General features: G+C 43.5%; 1 protein-coding gene and 1 long non-coding RNA gene across 19 annotated transcripts in view, besides 5 other annotated features; one reads left to right on the top strand and one right to left on the bottom strand.

The window, feature by feature from the left end:
• Positions 7,097-7,146: an enhancer, noted in NCBI's record as "active region_23773". NCBI's record gives its function as "activates an Ori minimal core promoter by ATAC-STARR-seq in GM12878 lymphoblastoid cells {active_cell/tissue: GM12878}" and the evidence as "EXISTENCE:reporter gene assay evidence [ECO:0000049][PMID:35858748]".
• On the bottom strand, positions 9,918-11,510 carry LOC124901155 (uncharacterized). Its single transcript, XR_007059089.1, has 2 exons — positions 11,315-11,510; positions 9,918-10,322 (listed from the first exon to the last, which is right to left on the bottom strand). It is a non-coding gene; the product is annotated as an uncharacterized LOC124901155 (long non-coding RNA).
• Positions 18,965-19,871: an enhancer, noted in NCBI's record as "H3K27ac-H3K4me1 hESC enhancer chr5:180288413-180289319 (GRCh37/hg19 assembly coordinates)". NCBI's record gives its function as "activates a minimal SCP1, AML or CMV promoter by ChIP-STARR-seq in naive H9 embryonic stem cells {active_cell/tissue: H9 hESC(naive)}" and the evidence as "EXISTENCE:reporter gene assay evidence [ECO:0000049][PMID:30033119]".
• Positions 18,965-20,248: a biological region, named in NCBI's record as "H3K27ac-H3K4me1 hESC enhancer GRCh37_chr5:180288413-180289319".
• Positions 19,799-20,248: a silencer, noted in NCBI's record as "silent region_16778". NCBI's record gives its function as "represses an Ori minimal core promoter by ATAC-STARR-seq in GM12878 lymphoblastoid cells {active_cell/tissue: GM12878}" and the evidence as "EXISTENCE:reporter gene assay evidence [ECO:0000049][PMID:35858748]".
• The window catches only part of ZFP62 (ZFP62 zinc finger protein), a 34,407-nt gene continuing 32,423 nt past the window's right edge, over positions 20,008-21,991 (top strand). For 7 of the 18 annotated variants that reach the window (XM_047417504.1, XM_047417501.1, XM_047417502.1 and 4 more), the window contains exon 1: positions 20,008-20,065. In XM_047417504.1, coding sequence (XP_047273460.1) covers position 20,065 — 1 coding nt within the window. In that variant the 5' untranslated portion in view covers positions 20,008-20,064. Of the gene's footprint in view, positions 20,211-20,604; positions 21,245-21,991 lie in introns of those variants that run through there. The other 11 variants (NM_001377940.1, NM_001377939.1, XM_047417503.1 and 8 more) reach the window with 7 other exon arrangements.
• Positions 20,349-20,428: an enhancer, noted in NCBI's record as "active region_23772". NCBI's record gives its function as "activates an Ori minimal core promoter by ATAC-STARR-seq in GM12878 lymphoblastoid cells {active_cell/tissue: GM12878}" and the evidence as "EXISTENCE:reporter gene assay evidence [ECO:0000049][PMID:35858748]".

Raw genomic sequence — 21,991 nt, 5'->3', positions numbered from 1 at the left:
ACAAAGAACTTAAACAAATTTACAAGAAAAAAAACCCATCAAAACGTGGGCAAAGGATATGAACAGACGCTTCTCAAAAGATGACATTTATGCAGCCAACAGACATATGAAAAAATGCTCATCATGACTGGTCATCAGAGAAATGCAAATCAAAACCACAATGAGATACCATCTCATGCCAGTTAGGATGGCGATCATTAAAAAGTCAGGAAACAACAGATGCTGGAGAGGATGTGGAGAAATAGGAATGCTTTTACACTGTTGGTGGGAGTGTAAATTAGTTCAACCATTGTGGAAGACAGTGTGGTGATTCCTCAAGGATCTAGAACTAGAAATACCCTTTGACCCAGTGATCCCATTACTGGGTATATACTCAAAGGATTATAAATCATTCTACTATAAAGACACATGCACACTTATGTTTACTGTGGCACTATTCACAGTAGCAAAGACTTGGAACACACCCAAATGTCCATCAATGATAGACTGGATTAAGAAAATGTGGCACATATACATCATGGAATATTATGCAGCCATAAAAAAGGATGAGTTCAAGTCCTTTGCTGGGACATGGATGAAGCTGGAAACCATCATTCTAAGCAAACTATCACAAGGACAGAAAACCAAACACTGCATGTTCTCACTCATAGGTGGGAGTTGAACAATGAGAACACATGGACACGGGGAGGGGAACATCACACAATGGGGCCTGTCGGGGGTGGGGGGGGCTCGGAGAGGGATAGCATTAGGAGAAATACCTAATGTAAATGACGAGTTGATGGGTGCAGCAAACCAACATGGCATGTGTATACCTATGTAATAAACCTGCACGTTGTACACATGTACCCTAGAACTTAAAGTATAATAATAGAAAAAACTAAAATTCCTCTACTTAATAAATGTCATTTATAAAAAAGCCCACAGCTAACACTGTAATCAATGGGGTAAAACTAAAAGCTTTTCCTCTATGATCCAGAACAAGACATAAATGTCCACTCTCACCAATTTTATTCAGAATAGCACTAGAAATATTAGCAAGACCAATCAAACAAGAAAAAGAAATAAAAGGCATCCAAATAAAAAAGATGTGAAACTATCTCTATTTGCAGATAGCATGATCCTATGTGTAGAAAATTGCAAAGATTATACACACAAAAAAAGTAGAGCTAATAAATGAATTCAGTAGAGTTTTAGGATACACAATTAACATATAAAAATCAGTGGCAATTATATAGACTAACAAACAAGTATTTGAAAAAGAAATTAAGAAAAAATCCTATTACGATAGCATCAAAAAATACCTAGGAATAAATTTAACAAGGGGATAAATTTAACAAGGTGATGAAAGATTAGTCTTCAGAAATTTTTAAAACATTGATGAAGGAAATTGAAGAAGACAAAAATGAATTGAAAGATATTCTGTGTTGATGAATGGGAAGAATTAATATTGGTAAAATGTCCACACTACTCAAAGCAATATACAGATTTAATGCAATCTCTATCAAACTTCCAATGGCATTGTTTATGGAAATAGAAAAAACAATTCTAAAACCTATATGGAGCCAAAATAACCCAAATAGCAAAAGCAATACTGAGAAAGACAAACAAAGCTGATGGCTTTACACTTCCTAATTTAAAATTGTATTATAAAGCTAGAGTAATAAAAACAGTATTGTGCTGGTATAAAAAAAGACATGCAGACCAGTGGAACAGAGAAGAGAGCCCACAAATAAATCCAAACATCTATGGTCAACTAATTTTTGACAATGGCACAAGAGGACACAATGAGGAACAGATAGTCTCTCCAATAAATGGTGCTGGGAAAACTGGATTTACACATGCAAAGGAATACAATTAGATTCTTATCTTATGCCATGCTCAAAAATCAACCCAAAATGGATAAAAGACATAAGTATAAAACCTGACACCATACAACTCCTAGAAGAGAACACAGAGGGAAAGCTCCTCAACGTTGGCCTTGACAATAATTTGGGTATCACCTCAAAAACTCAAGCACAATAATAAAAATATATAAATGGTACCACCTCAAACTAAAATGCTTCTGCACACCGAAGGAAACAATCAACAAAGAGAAAAGACAACCTACAAACTTTGAGAAAACAATTGCAACCACATATCTGATAAAGGGTAAAATTTATAAAGAACAATTAAAACACAATAGCAGAAAAATAACCCAATTAAAAATGGGCAAAGGACTGGAATAGACATTTCACCAAAGAAGCCACACAAAAATGGCCAACAGGTATATAAAAATGTGATCAACATCGCTAATCATAAGGCAAATGCAAATCAGAACCACTACGAGATATCACCTCACCCATATTAGAATAGCTAGGACCTAAAGGACAAAAGATAACAAATGTTGGCAAGGGTATGGAGAACAGGGAACCCCTGCACAATATTTGGTGGGAGTGTAGGTTGATACAGCCATTATGGAAAACATTATAAAGGTTCCTGGCTGGGCACAGTGGCTCACACCTGTAATCCTGGCACTTTGGGAAGCCGAGGCAGGTGGATCACTTGAGCTCAGGAGTTAGAGACCAGCCTGGGCAACATGGCAAAACCCCATCTCTACCAAAAATACAGAAAATTAGCTGGGTGTGGTGGTGCATGCCTGTGGTCCCAGCTACTTGGGAGGCTGAGGTGGGAGGATCGTTTGAGCCTGGGAGGCAGAGGTTGCAGTGAGCTGAAATCATGCCACTGCACTCCAGCCTGGGTGACAGAATGAGATCCTATCTAAATAAATAAATAAATAAAGTTTCCTAAAAAATTAAAAATGGAAATGCCATATGATATGGTTTGGCTATGTCCCCACCCAAATCTTATCTTGAACTGTAGTTCCTGTAATCCCCACATGTCGTGGTAGGGACCTGGTGGGAGGTAATTGAATCATGGGAGTGGTTACCCCCATGCTGCTGTTTTCCTGATAGTAAGTAAATTTTCACAAGATCTGATGGTTTTATAAAGGGGCTTTTCCCCCTTTTGCTTGGCACTTCTCCTTGCTGCCGCCATGTAAAGAAGGATGTGTTTGCTTCCCCTTCTGCCATGATTGTAAGTTTCCTGAGGCCTCCCCAGCCCTGTGGAACTACGAGTCAATTAAACCTCTTTCCTTTATAAATTACCCAGTCTCGGCTATGTCTTTATTAGCAGCGTGAGAATGGATTAATACACCATATCACCCAGCAGTCCCTCTTCTTTACCACCTTGTAAAGATATTTGCACTCTTATGTTTATTGCAGCATTATTCACAAAAGTCAAAATATAGAAACAATGTAAATGCCATAGAAAGACAAGTACATAAATATGATATATGTACATAATGGAATATTTTTCCACCTTAGAAAAGAAGATCCTGCCACTTGTTACAACATGTATGGACCTGGAGGACATTACGCTAACTGAATAATCCAGACACAGAAAGGAAAATGTGACTGGGTGCAGGGGCTCAGGCCTGTAGTTCCAGGACTTTGGGAGTCTGATGCAAGAGAACTGCTTGAGGCCAGGAGTTCAAGACCAGCCTGGGCAATATAGCAAGACCCTGTCTCTAGAAAAAAAAAATTTTTTTTAATTAGCCAGGTGCAGTGGCACATGCCTGTAGTCCCATAACATCATGTAGTCATAGCTACTCAGGAAGAGGAGGCAGGAGGATTGTTTGAACCCAGTTTGTTACAATGAGCTGTGATCATGCCACCACACTCCAGCCTGAGCAACAGAGTGTGACTCTATTCAAAAAAAGAGCCAATTTCCAGTATTCATCATGCTAATTAGCAAGTCACTAGCGTCACCAATAAAATCCATTAAAAATTAAAAAAAGAAAAACATTACATGATCTTATTTAATCTCAAAAACACAGAAAAAGAGAACCAACTGGTTATCATGGCTGAGGGAGGCGAAGGAAATGCGGAGATGTAGATCAAAGGATAAAAAGTAGGCGATATGTAGAATCAATATCTAGAGGTCTAATGTACAATATAAGAAGTCAAGTAGTTAAATTGTATTGTATTAGGAATTCTTGTTAAATAAGCATATTTTAGCTCCTCTTATTACAAAAATACAAAGTAACTATCTGAAATGATAAATATGTTAATCTGCTTCACTGGAGTACCACTTTACTATCTATATGCATCCCATAATGCCATGTTGTAAACCTCAAATACACATAATTTATCTTTGAAGAAACATAGAGTAGGATGAAGGACAGAGCAAGATGGCAGAAGAGAACTCTTTAGCTGTTGTCTCACTGCAGAAACATCACATAGAATGACTAGCAACATACATAAATACCTTCATGAGAGCTAAGGAGACCAGGTGAGAGATCAGAGTATATGGTTGTAACATAATAAGAAAAGATGCATTGGAGAGGGTAGAAAGGACAGTTTTAATTACCTGAATCACTTCTCCCCCAACTGCAGGTATCATAGCACAGAGAGAGATACCATCCACTTGGAGGAGAGATGGAAGTGAACATAGGATTCTGCCTTGTTCCCTAACATTTGGCCCCCAACAATAAAACCAAGCATGAGGCTTACCCCCAAAGCCTCTTAATCCAGGTCAGTAGCCATAGTTTGAGCCTCCTGACCTGCTCCAGTGGCAGGCAAGATCCCATACCCCTTTAAAATTTACTGAATGTCTGGGCTTCATCACTGCCAGCTGACTACAGTGGCGTTTGTTCCAGAAAAACCTCAGAGGCAGAGAGGCAGGCATCAGCAAATACTTCAGGTACACCTAATACTGTACCAGCCAGTAGCCACAGCTCCATTTATGGTAAATGCCCTATATTGGTGTACCATTTGTTAATCATTTATATCATATTTTTACTGTGTCTTTTCTATGTTTGGATATGTTTAGATACACAAATACTCACCATCATATCACAGTTGCCTACAGTATTCAGTGCAGTCACATGCTGTACAGGTTTTTAGCCCCAGTACAGGTTTGCCGCCCAGGACCAACAGGCTGTGTCATACAGCCTGGGTGTGTAGCCGGCTGTGCCATCTCGGTTTGTGTAAGCGCGCTCTATGATGTTCACACAATGATGAAATCATCTCACAACACATTTCTCAGAACGTATTCCTGCCATTACATGATGCACGACTGTATTTAAAATTGTAAGCCTTTTATAGTAAGGGAGTCCAAGGGCCTATCACCAGATGAATGTTAGCTAAGACAAATAGTCATTCCCTGGCACATTGAACTTTCTCAGGCAGGCACTTGAAGGAACGCTGGTTTTATCTGAGGGACATGGCCTTACGCTGTTAGAAGCCATGCTAGAGTTTGGTAAAGTCTCTCAGAGCTTGACCAAAGTTGTCATGTAGTGAGAGTTCTGCCGTTTTCACCTGCAAAGTCTTCCCCAGATGCTTCTGTCCATCCTCCCAACACTTTTTTCTTCTTTTTTTTTTTTTTTGCACGAGTTTTGCTCGTGTTGCCCAGGCTAGAGTGCAGTGGCGCAGTCTCGGCTCACTACAACCTCCACCTCCTGGGTTCAAGCAATTCTCCTGCCTCAGCCTCCCGAGTAGCTGGGATTACAGGCCTGCGCCACCACACCTGGCTAATTTTTGTATTTTTTTTAGTAGAGACTGGGTTTCTCCACGTTGGTCAGGCTGGTCTCAAACTCCTGACCTCAGGTGATCTGCCTGCCTCGGCCTCCCAAAGTGCTGGGATTAAAGGTGTGAGCCACCACACCCGGCCTCTTCTAACACTTTTTATTTCTGTAGTGTTAACACTCCTGTGGACGTTTTGTCTTTGTTTTTCACCCCAGTCCACACCTCTGCTGTTAGTGAGGGGCTCCTGGTCATCACAGCCACATGTGGACTCCCCTGCTCTGTACCTCCCAGCCTTTCTGCCAACAGCACTGGCCTCACAGTGCTGTCCTGGGGATTGAGTGAGATAGCTATAATGTGGTAAGCCCCACACTTGACACAGGAGGCTCCTAGCAGAGGCTGGCCTCAGTTAGTTAGTGGGGATGTTGGCATGTGCCTTCCCCTGTTTCTGAGTCCTGCCAGCCCCGCCAAGGGACTCTGCCACAAGAAGGCAGAAATTCCGTCTGTCTGCCTTACCAGACTCACGCTACCCAGACTCACAGCTGACTGCTCAACACATATGCTGGCTCAGTCAGTCACAGCCGGTAATCCTGTGTATCATGACTGAACTCTCCACGTAGACAGGCATCTCCCTTCTGCTTTCCTTGGTTCCTGGGAAGCTGAATTCGTAGACAGACGAAATGGAGGGTGGGAAAGGAGGCATACGAAGAGGGTGTTAAGTCCACATAGGTTCTCCTGTGCCAGCCACACAGGAGTGAAGAGGGCTTTGTTTATAAAAGATATAAAAAGCAAACAGACTAAAATATTTAAATCCTACCAACTAGAAGCAACTGCTCAACACTTTGACAAATTTCTTCGTCGCTTTTTTGTCCAAAGGTTCAGAAGTTTCTGTGTGTCTTTGTAAATAGATACCTTGTTTACAGCATATCCAGCTTTTTATCCCATTCTTTCTTTCCACGTGAGATTTTTCCACATTACTCTCATGCTCGCTGCCTCCCTGTTTTCAGCAAGCTATTGTTTCTCAGAAGCTCACATAATTCCTTGAGAAGTTTATGGCAGATACACTCTTAGGTACTGTCAAAAGACAAAATTACACAAATTTGTTTTTAAGATCTAATTGGCTTTTATGAATGAGGGAAGCCTCTATTCTTCAAAATAGAAGGAGAGCTCCCACTGGGCAATAGCAGAACTGTGGGCTTTGTAAGGTGGGAACGAGGAAACAGAACAATAGAAAAAAATCAGATTGCTTAATATCAGGTTACTTCAGGTTATTTTCTTGTAAGTTAAAGCAGAGGGGACTTCTTCATTATGCTGACTCAGGTAAACTGAGGTCTTTCCAACTGGTTGGTGTGACTTTCCTGTTTTCAGGAAAAAACAGTTTGTTTGGGGATCTACCTGCTTCCTTAGAATTTCAGTCTGTAGTCCCAGCTACTCGGGAGGCTGAAGCTGGAGGATCGCTTGAGGCCAGGAGTTCAGGCAGGTCAGTGCTGGTGAACCAGACCAGTGGGGTCAGTGAAGACCTAGGCTGACACCATGTATTAGTCAGGATTCTCTGGCGAAAGAGAACCAAGTAGATGCAGAGATAGAGACTGACTTATTTAAGGAACTGGCTCACGCAATTATAAAAGCAGCAAGCCTCAAGATCTACAGGGTGAGTCAGCAAGCTGGAGATCCAGGAGAGCAGATGGTTTAGTTCCTGTCTGCGGGCTGAGTGAAATAGCCAATGCCCTCGTTTGAAGGCTGCTAGGCAGGGGGAGTTCCCTCTTGCTTGGCAGATCAACCTTTGTGTTCTTTTCAGACCTTCGTCTGAATGGATGAGGCCCACCCACATTAGGAGCAACAATCTGATTTCCTCAGTCCCCCCAGTCTCATGCAAAACACCCCACAGAAACACCAGAAGATGTTGCCCAAAGATCTGGCCCATCAGGTTGACACCAAATTAACCGTCACACCCGTCTCCTACTCCGCCCTCATCAGCCAGCCGCCTTTAGGGCCTCCTGGGTGTGGCTTCATGGTGACAAGACTGGAGGAGGCCCAGGCATCACATAGGAGGACGCAGGAAGAGGCAGTACCAGCCAGTTCTTCTCTGTGCTGTTTTGTTTGTTTTGCTTTTGTTTTGAGAGACAGGGTCTGATTCTGTCACCCAGGCTGGAGTGCAGTGGTGCAGTCTCGGCTCACTGCAACCTTCACCTCCCAGGCTCAAGTGATTCTTCCACCTCAACTTCCCGAGTATTTGGGACCACGGGCACTTGCCACCATGCTTGGCTATTTTTTTTTTTTTTTTTTGATATTTTTGGTAGAGAAGGGGTTTCACCATGTTGCCCAGGCTGGTCTTGAATTCCTGAGCTGAAGAGATCCTCCTGCTTTGGCCTCCCAAAGTAAGCCACCATGCCAGGCCTGGTTTTCTTTTTTAATCTTAAAATCTTTCCCAAAGCTCATATCAGAGTTCCCCACACATCTCAGTGGCCACACAGGTCACCTGGCCTCCTTTAGCTGCAAGCAGGGAAATTGAGTATCTGGGAAAGGAGAATGGGAGTCGCTGTGCTTGTTCATCTTACATCAATTCTGATTGGTCTGGGCGTGTTGCTGCTTGGAAAAATTCTGGGGCTCTGTTAGTCAAACAGAAGAGAAGTGGGGATGGCTACCGGGGAGCTAGACAATAGCATCAGCCACAGGTGACAAATGGAAATCCCGAACCAGTCCTGCTCTTTCAGCTTTGGATCTGGGACGAGCATAACTCAGTCACGTGTGTAGAGACAGTCTCTTGGCTTACTTTATCAGGAGCTGATTCTCTGTATTATGCCTGGAGCTTTATATTTTAATTCCCGTATAGCAGCCTTCTTCCTCTTTCTGTGTCTCATGGGGTGGGAGGGTGTCTTGCTGTGGACCCCATGGCCACAGCTGAATTGAAACTTCCCCCAGTGGAGGGTGGAGGTCTTGAAACTGAGCATCCACCTTGGTGGCTCTGTTTTCTACCCAAATCCCAGAGACAAACCAGCCATTCAGCACAGCAGGTGCCCCCGCCACAGTCGAAAGCCTCACACGGCTGGTCCTGGCAGGTGTCCTGGATGTGCTCAGGTGATCCTGTGTCGCCTCCCTGACCTGACAACCCATCCACTAACCAAGTGCCCCATGATGTGCCCTGTCTGGGACGGTGCCAGGTGCCATGTCTATGAGATACAGATGAAATATCACGTTTTCAGGATTCAAATTTTCCATCAGATTGTGCTTACGCCTGTGAAGTAAAGTCCCGCAAGCTGAGAGTTTCGGATCTCTAACAAAAGATGCAGTTCAGCTGCCATTCTTGGTACCCCAGCACCCTCCCACTCCCACCACACACACACACACACACACACACACCCTCGTTGGCCTGACCTTCAGCATGATCACTGCCTGGCTTCGGGCAGAGCCTCTGTCAGTCGAGTTGCTACTGCCCTCAAGGGCAGTACAACTTCATATGTACACTTCATAGTGTGCTAAGACCCTGCACTTAATACAACATAGTATAATCCCTTATATGTCTACAGGCTGTGCTACTAGGGAGCTTGTGGTCTGGCTTAAAGTTTTATGACCTCTGAAAAATTTAAATGTACTTGGACATGACAATAGCCAGACAGGTCAATGTAACTAAATAGGTGGCCCATGACAAGCCCTTTTCTAGATAATGATTTAATACGATAAATTAGTTCAATGGGGAAGTTAAATGAGTAAATGGTAATGGGGCAATCAGTTCTTCGTAGGGAATGGAAACTCATGTTCCAAAATAAATTCAAGGGAGACTGTTGTAGTTTGAAAATATTTCCAGAAATTCTTTTATATTCCTGCTTTGAAGAGTTGGAGTTTAGGTCCTTTCCTTGAGTGTGGGATGGACTTAGTGATTTGCTTCTACTGGAGTAACATACGGCAAAAGCGACGGTGTGCACCTTCAGAGACCAGGGCATAAAAAGCGCCATGGTCCAGTGTCACCCTCTCTCTTGGATCACTTGTCATGCCATGAGGACACTCAAGCAGGCCTGTGGAGGGACCTGTACTATGAGAAACTGAGGCCTCCCACCAGCAGCCACGGGAACGAGCCAATTTGGAAGCAAATCCTCCAACTCCAACTGGGCTATTTCTCCAAATGACTGCAACCCCAGTCCACACCTTCAGTACAGCCTCGTCAAAGACCTTGAATCAGAGCCACTCAGTTAATATGCATTCAAATTCCTGGCCCACATAAACTGTGAAATAATAAATGTTTGTTGTTTTAAGCCACCGAGTTTTGGGGGCAATTTGTTATATGGTAATAGTTCATTAATTAAAAGATCAAAGGGAAAAATATTTTAAAATTAATTTTAAAAAAAACAGAACTGGGCCTTGGAGGAGAAAGGACCTCTAAACTTTAATGAAGGATTCCTGTATAACCTGAATATGGGTTTTGCCAGCCCACGCAACAAATGAGGCCACATCGGCCACGTCATTGGATGATGCCAGCTTGTGGGCCAGAGTGGAGTGTGGCCATAGGGCATCTTTTCCCCTTTTTGAAGTTTCCTGACTATGGCAAGACTGCCAGTATTCACCAAATATCCACGAGATCTTCTAAGCCCTGGCCTCCTTTGCAGTTAGAACGGAGCTGTGTGACCTGGTTCTGGCCAAAGAGAGGTGGTTGTAAATGACGTAATTGCACTTCTGGGCCTAGCCCTTAAAGCATCCCATGGGGTCTTCCAGCCTTCTCTTCTCTACAGTGGCAATTCTGAAGGCCACACATTCCAGATATTATGGCTGCAAGACAGAAGAGAGCAAACTGACTTACAATGAAGTTTACGTGAAGAACAAATAAACCTTCTTGTCTTAGGCCACCGGGAGGGAGGGTGTATTTGTTACTGCAACCTCGTCTAACTATGCTGACTACACCATTGCGCTTTTCTAGCATTGCTGGGTCTTTGAGGTATTCCATGTGTCCTCCAGGGCCAGTCCAGATTGTGTGTGTCTACACTGCTGTCACCTCCAGTTTAGTAACAGTGCTTTGTACTCGGGACCCTGGTGCGCACCACACAGGCAGATATGAACGTAAGCCTTTCTTGTAATTTTCCCTTAGTCCAGTCACAACCAGACCATCATGCTTCAGAAGAGCTATTGTTCGGAGAATAACCTGCCACAGGCTACCTTCCACACCCACAGACCCTGGGCAGTCCCGTGGGGCCCCTACGGGGCACTCCCTGCCAGCTCCTGACCTGCTCCCTCAGTGTTTCTCTGGACTCCGACACAGCCAGACCCAGAGAGAGGGAGGGGTCAACCACTGACCCAGCTAAGGCTGCACTTTTCAAGTCCTCAGATCCCGCCCCAACATCTTCCGCTTCCCAGGGAGATAGAGAAAGGTGATCCACTCCCCTCAGGAAGACACGGTACCTCCGGGAGTGTGACCACAGCAACACCAATCATGAAAACTCAGATAGTGCATACTGTATGGCGTCATAAGATCTGAGCCTCAAGACTGCCCAGCTGTGAGTCCTGGGACAGTTTTCTTACCCTCTCTGTTCCCCCATCTGTAAAATGGGGATGTATGCAGTGCTGTCATCAATGGGTTATTGACAAGATTCAATATATCAATATGTATGTTCTAAGTGCCTTACATATGCTAATTTAATTTTCACAACTCTGTGAAGTAGGTATTATTATTACCTATATTCCAGATGAGGGAGCAGAGACCAAAGATTACACAACTGCCCAGTCCCATAAGAAACCCAGAGCCCAACACAGATTCAAGAAAATACCTTGGAGCAGGTGCCATTTTTCACCAACTCTCCGTCCAAATTAGGGAAAGACAGCTCCTTTGATTTTCTCCTTTCCCAAGGTCTTATGAAACTGTGAGTTAATCCATGTGTACAAGAGGACATCCAGTTCTCTTTCTTTTAAAACAAAAATTTCCTCCTCCTGCCAAGTTGGCAGAGGCTTGTAAGGGTGGTGTCCTAACAGCCTCCTGTTTGGTCTTGGCACTCTGTGGCTTGTGAACAACAACCAGAGATGAATATATCTACAGGAGGAGAACAAGCAGCTGGGCTTGAACCAGCAGGTGCCCAGGCCAGAGCATTTCAAAGATGTCAAAGATCACAGCCTCAAAACTACCAGCTGTGTGTCCTGGGACAATTTGCTTTCCCTCTCTGTTTCCCCTTCTGTAGAACAGGTATATGTATGTGCATATATATATATATATATATATATATATATATATATATATACACACACACACACACACACACACAGTGCCTTCATCAAAGGGCTGTTGAGAAGATTCAATGTATCTATATATATAAAGCATTTAGAAGAGTGCTTGGCACAAAATAAGCCCCATAAAATTTCTCGCTGTTGTTGATTATCATTTTAGATGTAAGTGTCAGTCAGAACTCCTGACACAGACATCTCCCTTTCCACAGGACCCAGAAATGATAACAGTAGGAGGCTGCTTGCTCCTTCTAGACCTTTTCCCAGGGACTGTGGGTTATCCCTTAAGAGCCTCTGGTAACAGGTTTCTCCAGATTCATCCCACGGTCCCTTCCAGCTCAACAGCGCCACCTGCCACACAGATTTTACACATCCATGTAAAGCTTGAGGGATGAAAGGAAATTGTTGGTGTTAAAGGGCAAGCAGGAAAGAGAACAGCAATTGATGGCCAATTCAAAAGGTGAACTTCTTTAATAAAGAATGTGTTCCCACAATGGACACAAACTCTACAAAAGGTACCGAAAGACTTGATGTAAGGACAGGACAGGCAGTCCCTGGGAGAGATGGCTCAATTGGGTGACACACATGATAGAAGGGTAAAGAAAATTAAACAACCAGACACTATTTGCTGCCTACAAATTTAGAGAAAAAACAAACCTGCCACAACCCAATCCTGGGGAGGTGAGTGAGTAAAGAGCTTTTACTTATAGTTGGAAACTTTATAAATTGAAATACTCCTTCTTGAAGTAGTAGTTTAGCAATCTGATGCAATTTAGGATTATTTATGTTTACATATAATTTTTGAATAAATACTATATTCTCGTGGTTCAAAATGCAGGAGTATAAAGACGATATGCACTGAAAATTCTCCTTCCCACCCTTCTCTTCCAGCCACCCAGGTGCCTCCTCACCGACAGCCCCGGTTAGTGGTTTCTGGTGTGAACTTTCAGGAACATTTTTATGAACATACACAAATATGTACACATTCATTTCACCCTTTCTTATGCAAATTATAACATAGCTTGGCACATTGATTTCTTTATTTCACATGCATCTTGGAGATTTTCCCATACCATTTTATAAAGAGGCCCCTCTTCCTTTTTTATGGCTGAAAGTAGTACATTGCATGCTGTTATGGGTTGAACTGTGTTCCCCCAAAATTCGTATGTTGAAGTCCTAACCCCAGATACTTCCTAATGTGACCTTATTTGGAAACAGAGTCATTGCAGATGTATTTAGTTAAGCCGAGGTCATGCTGGAGTGAGTAGTTTAGGGCCCTAATCCGATATAACTGGTCTCCTTAAAAAAGGGAGAAATTTGCACACAGGCATGCATGCAGTGAGAAGGCTGTGTGTGATGGTAAAGGCAGAGACTGGGTGCTGTGTCCACAAGCCAAGTGTAGCAGGACAAGTCGCAGACAAAACTCCTCAGACACCGGATTAAAGAAGGAAGAGGTTTTTATTCGGCCGGGAGCATCGGCAGACTCACGTCTTAAGAGCCGAGCTCCCCGAAAAAGAAATTCCTAGCCCTTTTAAGGGCTTACAACTCTAAGGGGTTCACGTGAAAGGGTCATAATAGATCAAGTAAGCGTGAGGAACGTGACTGGGGGCTACACACATCAGCTAACAGAACAAAAAGTTTTACAGTGCTTTCTCACACAATGTCTGGAGTTTACAGATAACACCAGTAGTTTTGGTCAGGGGTTATTATTATTATTATTATTATTATTATTATTATTATTATTTTAACCACCAGGGCCAGGTGGTGGCGCCAAGGTCGTCTCGCTATCTTCTGTTTCTTTCCAACTCTGTGCTTTCTCCCTTTTCTCCTGTCTTATAAACTAGGGAAAAGGGGAGGTTGGGGAGAAGCTGGGAAGGACAACAGGAGAAGTGGTGGTCTCCGTCCAAAGGAACACCAAGGATTTCCATCAAACCACCAGCAGCTAGGTACAAAACGTGGAACCGATTCTCCCTCACAGCCTCAGAAGGAACCAAACTTGCTGACACCTTGATCTCAGACATCTAGCCTCCAAAACTGTGAGACAATAACTTGTTCCTATTTAAGCCACATTGTGTGGGGTACTTTCTTACAGCAGCCCTGGAAAACTAATACACGTGAATGTACAATAATTTATGTAATCACGTCTTTAGTTTGGACCTTTAGGTTTTCTCCATCTTTTACTTTAGACACACTATTGTGAATAACCTTTTCACACACCATTTCATGAGTGTGTGACTATACCAGCAGGGTAGACTCGTAGAGGAGAATTGCTGCGGCAAAGAGTACGTGCACGTCCATCCACACCGCACGCTGCCTTCCCTGGAGGTGAGGTCCGTCAACACCCCACCAGCGGGGAAGAGTGCTTTCCCCACCATGCTGTCACCACCACAGCGTGGATCAAACTCAGGATCTTTGCCATTCTAATAAGAGAAAAATTGTATTTCCATGTAGTTTGGGCTTGCATTCTTTTTTATTTTGAATCATTTGTATAAGCTTTCCTGTGAGCCCATTTTTCCACTGGGTTGTTCAGGTTTTCAATTTTGGAGAAGCTCTGTGTATCAGGGAAATTTGCCCTTTGTGATATAACATGCAAATATTTTTTCCCAGTTAGTCATTTGATTTTTTTACTTTTCTTGTAGTGGTTTTGCCACACGGAAGTATTTTATTTCTATGTGTTTGAATTGCTCTATCTTTACTTTTACAGTTTTTGGATTTTGCGTTATAGTAAAAAGGAAAGAAAGAAAACAAAAACCCTCCCTCAGTCCAATATGAGCAAAGCAATCTCCTGCAGTTTTTTTTTTTTCTTTGTAAAATTTTATGGAAGTGGGAGCAGCTGCCAGGATGGTTGGTGTGTGTGCATTTCACAGTTCAGTCTTAGATACACCTGGCATTCATCCTGGTGTAAGGGCTGTGGTTTGAATCCAACTTCATTTTTTCCCCAATGCTTCCCAGCTGTCCCTGTTCTGTCTTTGCCACTAGTTTGAAATGCTAGCTTTACCAGATGCCGAATACCCATGACTGTTTAGGTCTATTTCTAGACTTTATATGTATGTCTCAGAATTATACCAGCTTAATTATTAACGTGCCTTAATAGTGCCTTGCGTCATTCATATTTTTATAGGCATTTTCTAGCTAGAAACAAGCAAGAGTCTGTTAAATTTGTCCATGTGAACTTTAGAATCAGTTGTGGGTTGCCAAAGGAGATTCTATTGCTAGCTTTTATCAGGATCATGACAATTATACTTTACAAGAAATGACTGTTCTGATGTCAAGTGTTTCCATTCATGTGAATGGAACATCCAAGAATCTTTCCATAAGTTTAGTTCATCCTCTATGTCCCCAGGAGCACTGTAAATTTTCTTCATATGGGTCTTGCACGTGAGTCATGAATTCCTGGGCATTTGGTCTTTTGTTTGTTTCTATTGTAAATGTAGTCTTTCCTTCCATTATTCCAACTGTAGTTTCTATATAAGGAAACTTGATTTCTATATGTTAATTTTGAAAACACACCTTACAGCATTCTCGTTTTTTCTAGTTTTTTCAAGTTAATTCTTGTGAGTTTTCCAAAAATGAAATCATATCTGCAAATAAGACAATTACACCTCTGCTTTCCAATGTTTATATTCTGACTTCTTTTTTCTTTGTTTAATCCAGCTGCAATGGGAAATAATAGTACTGATGAGTAACAACCTTGTCTAGTTCTTTACTCTGATTGTTTCCAGTGTTTACCTATTAAGCTTATTAGTGTTTCTAATTCCCTATTGTTCTTATTTTAAGACTCTTAAAAATGTCTGTCTATTGAACCAGTGATTCCTCTTCTTGTCAATTATTCCAAGGAAAATACGATGAAAGCGTTCTGCACGCTACTATCTAAAACAGCACTGATTTATTTTTTAAAAAAGACATACTTAGAAAAAACCTCTGTGAGTTATACAGAATAGTTAAGGAGACTGTAGTTTAATGGAATATCACAGAGAGTAAAAACATGAAAAATGCTAATGTATAATATTATTTGTAAAAATGCTATATAAAAATACAGATATAGTATGATTATGACACTATCTGAAAAACACTCACAAACTGGTGATAGAAAAAAGTTTACTAAGTTTACTAAGTAAGTTTACTAAGTTTACTAAAGTTTACTAAGTAAGAAAATTTACTAAATTATGGGCTGGGTGTGGTGGCACATGCTTGTAATCCCAGCACTTTGGGAGGCTGAGGCAGGGGGATCATTTGAGCTCAGTAGTTCAAGACCAGCCTGGGCAACATAGTAAGACCTTGTCTCTATTTTTTTTAAAAAAAGGAAAGTTTAGGCCGGGCGCGGTGGCTCACGCCTGTAATCCCAGCACTTTGGGAGGCCGAGGTAGGTGAGTCACCCAAGGTCAGGAGTTTGAGACCAGCCTGGCCAACATGATGAAACCCCATCTCTACTAAAAATACAAAAACTTAGCTGGGCATGGTGGTGTGCGCCTGTAATCCCAGCTACTCAGGAGGCTGAGGCAGGAGAATCCCTTGAACCTGGGAGGGGGAGGTTGCAGTGAACTGAGATCGTGCCACTGCATTCCAGTCTGGGCAACAAGACCAAAAACTAGTTTACTAAATTAAGAATAATTTTTCTGTTTTCCAGATTTAACATAATGAACTGATATTATGGTACAGTGGGAGGAGAGATTTTATTTTAAAATAAATTTGCCATTGGGCATGGTGGTTCACACCTGTAATCTCAGTACTTTTGGAAGCCAAGGTGGGAGGATCACTTGAGGCCCAGGAATTTGAGACCAGCCTGGTCAACACAGCAAGACCCTACCGCTGCAAAAAAAATTAAAAAATTAATCTGAGGCCGGGAGCAGTGGCTCACGCCTGTAATCCCAGCACTTTGGGAGGCCAAGGTGGGCGGATCACCTGAGGTCAGGAGTTTGAGACCAGCCTGGCCAACATGGTGAAATCTTGTCTCTACCAAAATACAAAAATTAGCCTGGTGTGGTGGCATGTGCCTATAATCCCAGCTACGTGGGAGGCTGAGACAGGAGAATCGCTTGAACCTGGGAAGCAGAGGTTGCAGTGAGTCGAGGTCGTGCCACTGTACTCCAGCCTGGAGGACACAGTGAGACTCCATCTACAAAAAAAAAAAAATATTTAATCTGGATCTAGTGGTTCACACCTATAGTCCTAGCTACTCAGGAGGCTGAAGCAGGAGGACTGCTTGAGCCCAGGAGACTGAGGTTGCAGTGAGCTATGTGATCACACCACTGCGCTCCATCCTGGGTGACAGAGCAAGATGCTGTCTCTAAAAAAAACAAAAATAAATCTGTGACCAAATTCAATGGCTAAACACAGAGTTGGAATTAAGCCCTATGGGCTTAGCTCAACATTAATTTGTACTTAAACCACTCCAAAGGGAGGTAGATGAGCCAGCAAAGCAAGAGCAAACCCAGACAACCTCACTGCTGCACCTATTGGCCTCCTAGAGCAGTGCTGTTCAATGGAAATGTACTGTGAGCCATGTATGTGACTTCTGATCTTCTAGATGCATTTAAAGTAAAAAGAAACAGGTAAAATTCATTGCAACCATGTATTTGATCTACCCCAATATAGTCAAAATATTATTTCAGCATGTAATCAACATTAAAAATTATTAATAAGATAGTTTACATTCTCTTTTCCTAAGTCTTAGAAATGTGGTGTGGATTTTACATTTACAGCACATCTCAATTCAGACTACCATAAGCTACATGTGAATAATGACTGCCCTACTGAACTCAGCTCTGATGTGTAGATATCTCTAAAAGTGTTAGAAAGGCAAGCATGTGTCTGTGTCTGTGTCTGTGTCTGTTGTCTGTGTGTGTTATGTAGACACAGGCCAAATGAAAGGTGCCTGCAATATAACAAGGCTCAAGGAGGAAAAGCCGTCATCTAAAATCAAAAGGATCCGACAGGCACGGTGGCTCACGCCTGAATTCTAACACTTTCAGAGGCCAAGACAGACGGATCACTTGAGCCCAGCAGTTCAAGGCCAGCCTGGGCAACATAGTGAGGCCCCATCTCTACAAAAAAGACAAAAATTAGTGGGGCTGTTGTGGCATGCACTTGTAGTCCCAGCTACTTGGGAGGCTGTGGTGGGAGGATCCCTTGAACCTGGGAGATCGAGGCTGCAGGGAGCCATAATCATGCCACCCTGACTCCAGCCTGGGCAACAAAGTGAGAGCTTGTCTCAAAACAAATAAATAATAAGATAAAATAAAAAGCATCTGACTCAAGATGATTTATGTGGGTTTCCCATAATCCCTTCCACACACACACCACCTTTCATTGAGCGAAGTGTTCCAACCCAGATATGAATATTTTTCTATCTTGCTGCCTAGAGGTAAAAACCCAGTCTTTGCCTACCATGAACCTTTAAGGGCAGCTTTAATTCTGGAGGCCTGTGAGGACCACCTGAAGCTCCTTCTAGAGCTGTGCTATCCAATAAGGTGGCCATTAGCCACATGTGGCTATTTACATTAAATGTAATTAAAAATTCAGATCCTCAGCAGCACTACCCACATTTCAAGTGCTCAACAGCTGCATGTGTCTCACTATCCTTTGGGGGCAGCTCTAACTCCCAATCCTCTGCTCGCTCTGGGGCTCTCACCTAAAGCTGCAGACCTGGGCCTGGGGCTCTGCTCCTCCTTAGGAGTCGCTGCTGCCTGCTAACTCGCCCAGACGTTCTTCGAGGTGGGTGGGGTTGTGGCGTGAAGCCCAAATGCCGTCAAGGGTCTTATTGCTACAATGAAACGCCCATTCCCTCTACTTGAGTGAACACAGTGTCTCAGCACCCACATGTATAAAAATGAAAAATAGGCGTCGAGCTGATGCCAAACACCGGCTCACCCCAGCAATATGTAAAATTCATTCAAATAATATAAATAATTTGAGCTGTAAAACAAAATCCATCTCATTACAAGTTGTGCTTCCAAAGCACTTCACTTTTTGTCTAAGAATTAACAGTAAACATTTTGAAATATTTATATAATTTTGCTAATAATCCAGAAAATAACACTAAGAAAAAATGTAATCTACTTTCGTTACGGACATATATGCTAGGATAAACAATAAACAATAAAACAATGCATAGAACTATTTTACACTAGGATAAAATTCAATGAGGCACATAGAATGAAAATATTTTTACAGTAGAATAAAAAGCCGGTGAGGGACATAAAAGTTCAAGGAAAAAAACCCTAAAAGATGTAAAACTTATGACTGTTAAAAGTGGATAATACCAAATCTTCAGGGATTTAGATTCCATTGGATACACTTGAAAGCAATTTTGTTCTTAATATTAACAGCATGCCAAAAATATACCCTTTGCAATTATTTAAACTTAATATGAAAAATATTTAGATGTTGCTGTTTTTAAAAAAGGCTGACTATAGCCAATAACTTAGTTGTATATTTAAAAATAAGAATATAATTTGATTGCTTGTAACACAAAGGATAAATGCTTGAAGTGATGGACACGCCATTAACCCTGATATGATTATTACGCATTGCATTCCTGTCTGTATCAAGATATCTCACGTACTCGACAAATAGGGACACCTACTATGTACCCACAAACATTAATTTAAAAAAAAAAAAAAGGTCTTCAAAGTCATTTTAGGCCCTGGGTTTGGAAGCCGACACCGGCGGTGGGGTGGGCAGGGGGCGAGGTCGCTGCCAAGCTGGCGCCCCGGGTGGGAGCGTGGCCCGGTCCCAGGGACGGCTCCAGGGGCGCGCTCCCACTCCGCATCCCCAGTGCCTAACCGGGGGCGCTTCTGGTGCTGACGACCAGGAAGGGCTGGTGCTCTCGGGCCAGCCCCCAACCAGCTGAGAAGGCAATGGGTCCCCAGCCCAGCGCTGTCCTGCGCCCCTCCCGGATTCCCCCATTTCCCGCCAGGCCCCCACTTCCGGGAACGTCCCCGCACCCACACCTGGCAATGAATCACGTGTTCAGGAACCAGGTAGGCAGGTATTTACTTTATTACCTGTGCCCCTCCCCCAGCCTACCCCAGAAGCTAATGGGCACGGAAACAGAAAGCCCCGCCCACGGCCTCCTGGCCGCGCCTGGAGCGCGCGCCCTGCAGCTGGTCCTCAATAAATAGCCGAGGAGGCGCTCCCCTCCCTCCCTCCCGCCGGCGCCGTCGGCCCGGACCATCGAGTCAGTCCTCCAGCGTCCCAGAGAGGGCGCGGAAGTGCCCCAGGGCCGGCGCGGGTTCTTCCGGCCGTGCGGTCCGCGCTTTTGTCCCGCTGGCGGCCGGGTTCCCGCGGCGCCGCCACAGCCAGTACGTGAGTCCGCGGCCGCCCGCGCTCCCGCCCCCGGCCCTTGCCTGCCACGCCCTCCCCTTTTTGGCCGGGTCTTGGCTGCTCCGCGGGTCTCGGGCGGGATGTGGGAGTAAGCGTGCCCCCTCCCCGCACATGTCTCAGTGGGTGCGTTTCTGGGGAGCGGAGGGGAGGGAAGACCTCGGGCAGGCAGAGGGGTGCAGGGCGCGCCCCTGGAACAGACTGGGCTCTGTGTGGGCCACAACTGCGACGTTTGAACGGACCAGCGTCATGTTAGGTCTGCTCAACGTTCCGAGAAGGGCCAGGGCCCCGCTCCGGTGTTCCTCAACTATTCATCCCTGTTTTGGATGGGAGGGGATCCCTAAAAATTAGCGCTTCAAAATACCCACCATTTCGTGCTCCCTCTGCAGTTAAGTTTGGTACTCTAGGACTTGAGAGTGATTGCGAGGGCAGAGAGACCTCTAGGGGTGATCTGATTCGACCTTCTTCCCCTCCGCTCCACCCCACCACCTTTTTTTCTTTTTTTTTTTTGGTCGGTGAGTGATGATGATAAGCTCCCGCTGCAGGTGTGAATAGAGACCCCGGAGGTGCGTCCTAGCCCTCATCTGGGGAAGCGCACCTGCATACAGACGGGTGCACCGGGGAGGAGGCGACCTGCCGCGTGTTCCTGCAAGCAGAAAAGGAGTTAACTAGGTAGGGAGAGGAAGGTCGAAGAGTTTCTTAGACCCAGGGGACAGCCTGCGGGAACCCAGGGGTGGGACGGAAAAGATCACTGGGGAATGCCAGGGCTGGGTGTGCTGCTCTAAGACATTTAAAGTAGTTGGCCAGCAGGAGCATTTCTTTGTGAAAGCTCAAGGCTTAAAAAAAATAATAATATGAAATATGTAATATATTCATATGGCTGGGATATTAAAAATATAAAAAGTTACCAGTGAAAGATTTCTTCCCATCCCGCTTAGGTATCTTCCTAGGCCCTACCCTCTTAGGTAACCACTTTTGTTCCTTTGTATCTTTTCCGAATTTCTGCAAATACTGGCAAATATAACTAGTTAGTTCCCCCTTTTTTCACACAGGTGATAGAAATCCTTCTAACTCCTTGATTCTTTCACTTTATCTTACTGGTCTCTACATGTCAGAACACAGAAGTTGTGTTTTGTTTCGTTTTGTTTTACAGAGCTGTGGTAAGTATTGGATGGGCCATTGTTTGGATGTTTTCGATGTTCTGTCCTTTTTTAGATCTATTCGGGGGCATTTGGGTTGTCTCCAATTTGTTGTTACTTCAAACAATGGTATACTCAATACAGTGTATTAGGGTAGGGATTTTTACAGAAGAAACTAAACAGCCGTTAGAAAATTATTTTTTTACATTAACTCAACCAGTTATTGGCAGATTGTTACATATGACAAGTCGTTATCAAAATCACTGATGTAGAGTGTTTAAAGAACAAATAAGACGTAAGTAGTTCTTCCCTTCTGAGACTTGTCCCTATATTTAGTGTTACACTAGCCTAATAGACTAATTGTGTCAATGACTCCAAGCCAGTCCCTGCCGGGTTTGATTCAGAAAATCAGCCTCCCTTTTAGTATCGCCTTTGCTCACCTCCTCCCCTACGACAACTAGAAATCTCTTCTCCACTACTTGGCATGAGAATGTTCTATTTCAGTTTTTTACTTTAAGGAAAAATCACCTTTCATTCTTATTTCTATATTTAAGCAATAGAACCAACTCACGTTAATCATATACATTCCTAATATTCATAAGACAAATGCAACAGTAGCTAGAACACAAACCATATTCTCTTCTCATCTGCATATCACTTCTCTGTTCCTTAGTCCCATCTTTCCTTTGTACATTTTGCCCCTCCTAGGTACTCTTTGTTCTGGGTTGGTAAGCATTTTGTCACTTTCTCTTGTCTTGTTTCCTTTCT

The sequence above is a fragment of the Homo sapiens genome, chromosome 5, assembly GCF_000001405.40.
Source record: "Homo sapiens chromosome 5, GRCh38.p14 Primary Assembly".
NCBI classification, from domain to species: domain Eukaryota; kingdom Metazoa; phylum Chordata; class Mammalia; order Primates; family Hominidae; genus Homo; species Homo sapiens.
Note: the sequence above shows the minus strand (reverse complement) of the source record. Positions and strands in the feature narration are given on the sequence as shown.